General features: G+C 41.2%; 1 annotated feature.

The window, feature by feature from the left end:
* Positions 1,840–2,750: an enhancer, noted in NCBI's record as "OCT4-NANOG-H3K27ac-H3K4me1 hESC enhancer chr6:154863543-154864453 (GRCh37/hg19 assembly coordinates)". NCBI's record gives its function as "activates a minimal SCP1, AML or CMV promoter by ChIP-STARR-seq in naive H9 embryonic stem cells {active_cell/tissue: H9 hESC(naive)}" and the evidence as "EXISTENCE:reporter gene assay evidence [ECO:0000049][PMID:30033119]".

Genomic DNA, 5,593 nt, shown 5'->3' on the forward strand with positions numbered 1-5,593 from the left:
TTTTTTGTGAGCCAGAGTCTCACTCTGTTGCCTGGGCTGGAGTGCGTGGTGTGGTCTTGGCTCACTGCAACCTCTGCCTCCCGAGTTCAAGTGATTCTCCTGCCTCAGCCTCCCAAATAGCTGGGATTACAGGCACCCTCCATGACACCCAGCTAATTTTTTTGTATTTTTTTCAGTAGAGATGGGGTTTCACCATGTTGGCCAGGCTGGTCTCGAACTCCTGACCTTGTGATCCGCCCGCCTCAACCTCCCAAAGTGCTGGGATTACAGGTGTGAGCCACTCTTGCCCGGCCTACTATAGTGTTTTCTATAGCCTAAGTCTAGGAGGAAGAAGACAACCTAGTAGAGATACTGGGGTTGCAATCTACTAGGACTGCAATTATCTAACAGTGAGCCCCATAATCACAGGACCGGCCTAAGTTACGATCCAGGGATGGGAGGGAAAATAATCCCTCTGAATACATTGTAAAGGAAGAGTGGAAGACAAAAATGCAGTGTATTTTTGAATTCATTCTGACATATTTAGTTCAATGTACTAATTTTTATTGTTTTCCAATGAGATACATTAGGCAGGCATGAAATAAAATTTTCATGATGACCAAAACCTATCCACTTGAAACATACAGAAATCACCATTTTCACCGGTGACACAATATTTTTGAGAGAGAAATTTATTTCAAAATTACTATGTCTCCCTTTGTGTTCATTTTTGGGAACATTGTAAGTTTTGCTAATGTGTGATTTCTAATGTGGTACATTTGCCTTGGTGTACTCTTCATAAACCTAGGCCGTTTTCTTGGCTTTTATAGATTTCTTTCCTACTAGGGTGAAAGTTTATTATAATCTTGTAGCCAGGGACCACATCTTACTCATCTATAGAGATGATGCCCCATATTACATGATACAAAGGGTTATGCAGTCAATTCTTATTAACCCTTTGTGAAATGAATTTTCTTTACTTTTAATAAGCTTTTGCTGAGCGCTTGTCACTCAAAAATCCAAGTGTTATTTCCATTCCATTTCACAGATGAACAAACTGAGGCTCAAAGAGGCCTAGTAAACTAATGCAAGGTCCTCCAGTTAAAAGTTGAGCCAGAATTCATACCGAGGCAGGGTAACTCTAGAGCCCACGCTCTTTTTATCTTTTTTTGGAGACAGAGTCTCCCTGTGTCGCCCAAGCTGGAGTGCAGTTGCAGGATCTCAGCTCACTGCATCCTTTGCCTCCCGGGTTCAAGCAATTTTCCTCCCTCAGCCTCCTGAGTAGCTGGGATTACAGGCATGTGCCACGACGCCTGGCTAATTTTTGTATTGTTAGTAGAGACGGAGTTTCACCATGTTGGCCAGGCTGGTCTTGAACTCCTGACCTCAGGTGATCCGCCCGCCTTGGCCTGCCAAAGTGCTGGGATTACCTGTGTGAGCCACCGCGCCCGGCTGAGCCCATTCTCTTAATGACCTCACTGTATGTATGCCTCTTCCTTATTGATTTATTCGATTAAAAATATGTTGAGTCACTGCTGTGTGCTGAACTCGTTCCAGATGTTGGAGAGAGACAGTGACGCAAAGGACCAGACCTGGTTCTCACAGAGTCTACACTCCGGTGTGAAGGGTCTGAAAGTATGTGGGAAGCGGGAGAGAGGAAGAAAGAGGAGCGGAACTGCCGACCCACTCTATGGGAACTCTGTATTGAACCATTTGAGGAAGGGCCAGGCTGTTTCCCAAAAGCAGCTGCACCATTTTGTATTTCACCAACCAAGCGTGTGGGGTGCAATTTCTCTACATCCTCGCCAACACTTCTCTAACATTTTGATTGTAGCTGTGATGAGATGCATTCTAAATTTCTGATATAATTACTTCTCAAACAAAACCATCGAATCATGTCAAATCAATCTGACTTAAAAGAGAAAGTCTTTTTTTAATTAAGTTAAAAATTTATTGACATTCTGATTGTGAAAAACTCTAACATTGCTTTTAATTTATCATAGGAGTTACTTCCCAAAAATGTTAATCACAGCTGGATTGAAAGAGTCTTTGGGAAATGGGGCAATGTTGTTTATGTAGGTATACCACATTATAAGTCTACTGGAGATCCAAAGGGATTTGCGTTTGTGAAATTTGAAACAAAAGAACAAGCAGCAAAAGCAATTGAGGTAGGACCAGATCCTTTTGAAGAAAACAATTTCTTTACCTTCCTGAATTAGTTCCCAAAGATTCCTGTTCTCCTCCAGAAGGAGCTCTGATGAACCTCGACACAGGCTGCAGAGCTCCTCTTTGTGTTCCTGTGAGGACAATGGTTGTGCCCTACCAGGCACTTAGTGTCCAGGGCACCCACCAGCTCTTTGCAGACAAGTTTCCCAGATGGTCTTTAAATGATCAACCAGGCTCGCTTTCATGGCAAGACCCTTCCTCCCACGGCTTCCCCCCGGCTGTGTCAGTGAAAACAAGGTAAAACATTAGCTTTGTTATTCAGCCAACAGAAAGCCTCTGGGAGGTGTATGCTGATTTTCTTTCTTTTCTATACATTTACATTTTACAAGGGTCATAGCTCATTAAGACAAAAGTAGATCACCAGCGCATTTAACTTTGACCAGAAAAAAGGCACGCCTTTTTAAGTGGCCTACATAAGATCTGTGGTCATTTTTAGATTAAACAAATGCAAAATACATTATTTTATATCGGGGCATATTTTTCTATCTTAAATACAATTTTTACTTTTTACAAGATGCGTTCCAACTCTTGGGAATATTTATTATTAAAAACGGGGCCTAAAACAAATAAGCAGTGTGTAATAAGCAAGTGGTATGTCCACTCAGCAACTGAGTTACCATATAGTACATAAAGTAACTGTAATCCCTGAAACTCCCAGTATACACAGCTAACCTCAGCCAATACATATTCCTGAAGAGAGATTGCTACAAGCCAAACTGTGATATCTAACAGGAACAAAGAACTGACTGTATACATTTGGACTCCCCATTTTACTTTGTTATGATTAAAGTATTGCCTTTAATGCAATAAAAAAAAAAAACCAAGCATATTTGCATTCAAGCTCAAAAAAGGAGTAAGGCGGGATTAAAACCATGGCTTCACGCTATTTTAACTATGAAAGAACATCAATCAATAAAACGTAACTGAAAAATTCTTACTTGAAGAATTCTTTAGATAGCAGTAACATCAAATTCTTGTTTTATGTTTTTTCACTTAGTGTTCTGATTCACAACTATTTTTTTCTTGTTGGCAACTCCCACTGACTCCAACTTAAATAAATAAAGTTTGTTTTGAGATGAGTTTCCATGGTAAGACACTACTTTAAAGCCGATAATGCACTCAGTATGATACAGTTCCTCCACATTTTCTTTTCGCCAGATAGGTAGAATATCTCACATTCCCCTTACAACAACTTTGTAGCTTTCTACATAACACTATATTAAAATAATACTTCAAATAACTTGTGTCTCTCATCGGAAGATCTCACAAAACTTGGTTTCATTAATAAACCCCTTCGTGGCCAGGCGCGGTGGCTCACATCTGTAGTCCCAGCACTTTGGGAGGCCAAGACAGGCGGATCACCTGAGGTCAGGAGTTCGAGACCAGCCTGGCCAACATGGTGAAACCTTGTCTCTACTAAAAATACAAAAATTAGCCGGGTGTGGTGGCACACACCTAGTAATCCCAGCTACTCAGGAGGCTGAGGCACAAGAATCACTTGAACCCGGGAGGCGAGGTTGCAGTGAGCCGAGATTGTGCCACTGCACTCCAGCCTGGGTGAAGGAGTGAGACTCTGTCTCACCAAAAAAAAATAAAAGTAAACACCTCCCTGCCCTACCCACTCCAAGCACCATGAAAGTATAAACTTCCCTTTGCTGAAAAGGTTGAGGTAAAAAATTAATAATTTTTCATACAGGAAAAGACCTTTGAGATGATCTGTAGGCCACCGGTTCTCAACATGGGGTGCTCAGACAATACGCAAACTTACGAGGAAGGCAAATTCTCAGGCCCCACCTGAACCTAGTGAACCAGAAACTTAGGGGACATTGGGCACAGCCAAGTCCTTTCTAACAAGCCTCCAGGTGATTCTGATGCATGCCAGAAAGTTTGAGAACCACTGATTTAGGCCAAATCACCAATTTACAATGGAAGCCTCTAAACTACTGACAAGTTAGTGATTTGCCTAAAATTGTTAATGTCAAAATTGAGATTAGATTCCAAGTCTCTTAACTTCAATTAGTTCCAGTTTGCAGACTCTAACACCGTGAAATACATCAAAGAAAATCTCAACTCCTTCCCCGCTTTGACCCTACCTGAGCAGCCATACCTGGTTCAGAGTTTCCAAGTTCCAAACAAAACGGGAATCAGCAAAGAGAACTTGGTGATACTTGTTTGCAAAATCCTGCCCCAATTCTTTTATTTACAGGATCTGTTGTATAGTAAACAGAGTATTGAATTGAACCCTGGAGGATTCCATTCTGGTTCTGTCCCTAACCACAACACCACCCCCTCCTCTTACATTGTCTATGAACATAAGAGAGATGTATTAGATTGTACAGTATGCAAATTTAAGATTCTCTAGAGCTCAGAAATTTCATGATTCCCTGAGCCTGACTGCTAAACAAGTTTTCTCATTGTCACCATGTCAGATACTATAAGTCCATTTTCTGGTGACCAGAACATCTGGATTCCTAATGCTTTTATTTCCCCCTTTTCCATCCCCAACCTATGCTCTATACAATGGCTAATGTGCTACCATTGTTCAAATGTCGAACCATAATATGGTTGTGATCATGAAGGCAGAATTTAAAGAAGGAATCGTAAAATTAATCAGGAGATAAAGATTGCCAAAAAATAAACATTTTAACTTCCTCAAGAATGGAAATTGAACATGCTTGGAGGTTCAAGCTGAATTAATCTCAGAGTTTACTCTATGGATTTGACCACAGTCCAAAAAACAGCAAGAAATTTTTTTTTTTTTTTTTTTTTTGAGACGGAGTTTCGCTCTTATTGCCCAGGCTGGAGTACAATGGCATGATCTCGGCTCACCGCAACCTCCGCCTCCCAGGTTCAAGCAATTCTCCTACCTCAGCCTCCCGAGTAGCTGGGATTACAGGCATGCACCACCACGCCCGGCTAATTTTGTATTTTTAGTAGAGACGGGGTTTCTCCATGTTGAGGCTGGTCTCGAACTCCTGACCTCAGGTGATCCGCCCACCTCGGCCTCCCAAAGTGCTGGGATTACAGGAAGAAATTATCTTTAATTATTAAAGCAAATAGTGTTCTAATATAGATTAAAATATTGGCAATTGGCAAAGTCTGCTGCTTTCCAGCTTGCTCGTGTGGCATCATTTATTGATAGACACAGAACTCAATACAGAGGTGTCATTAACATCTACATAACTTATATCTTCACTTTAACTGAACAGGAATAATACGGAAAATTGTATCACCTGGACTGCCAAAGAGAGTCACAGCAACACAGAGAAGACTATATATTCCAAGGATTGCAATCATGTTGCTCTCTGCTCATATTTTCAAACTGAGAATCTGGATAGAACATGAACAGTTGGATTGTGGATGCATTTCTTGTACCTTAAATCGGGGA

Source organism: Homo sapiens, chromosome 6 (assembly GCF_000001405.40).
Source record: "Homo sapiens chromosome 6, GRCh38.p14 Primary Assembly".
NCBI classification, from domain to species: Eukaryota; Metazoa; Chordata; class Mammalia; order Primates; family Hominidae; genus Homo; species Homo sapiens.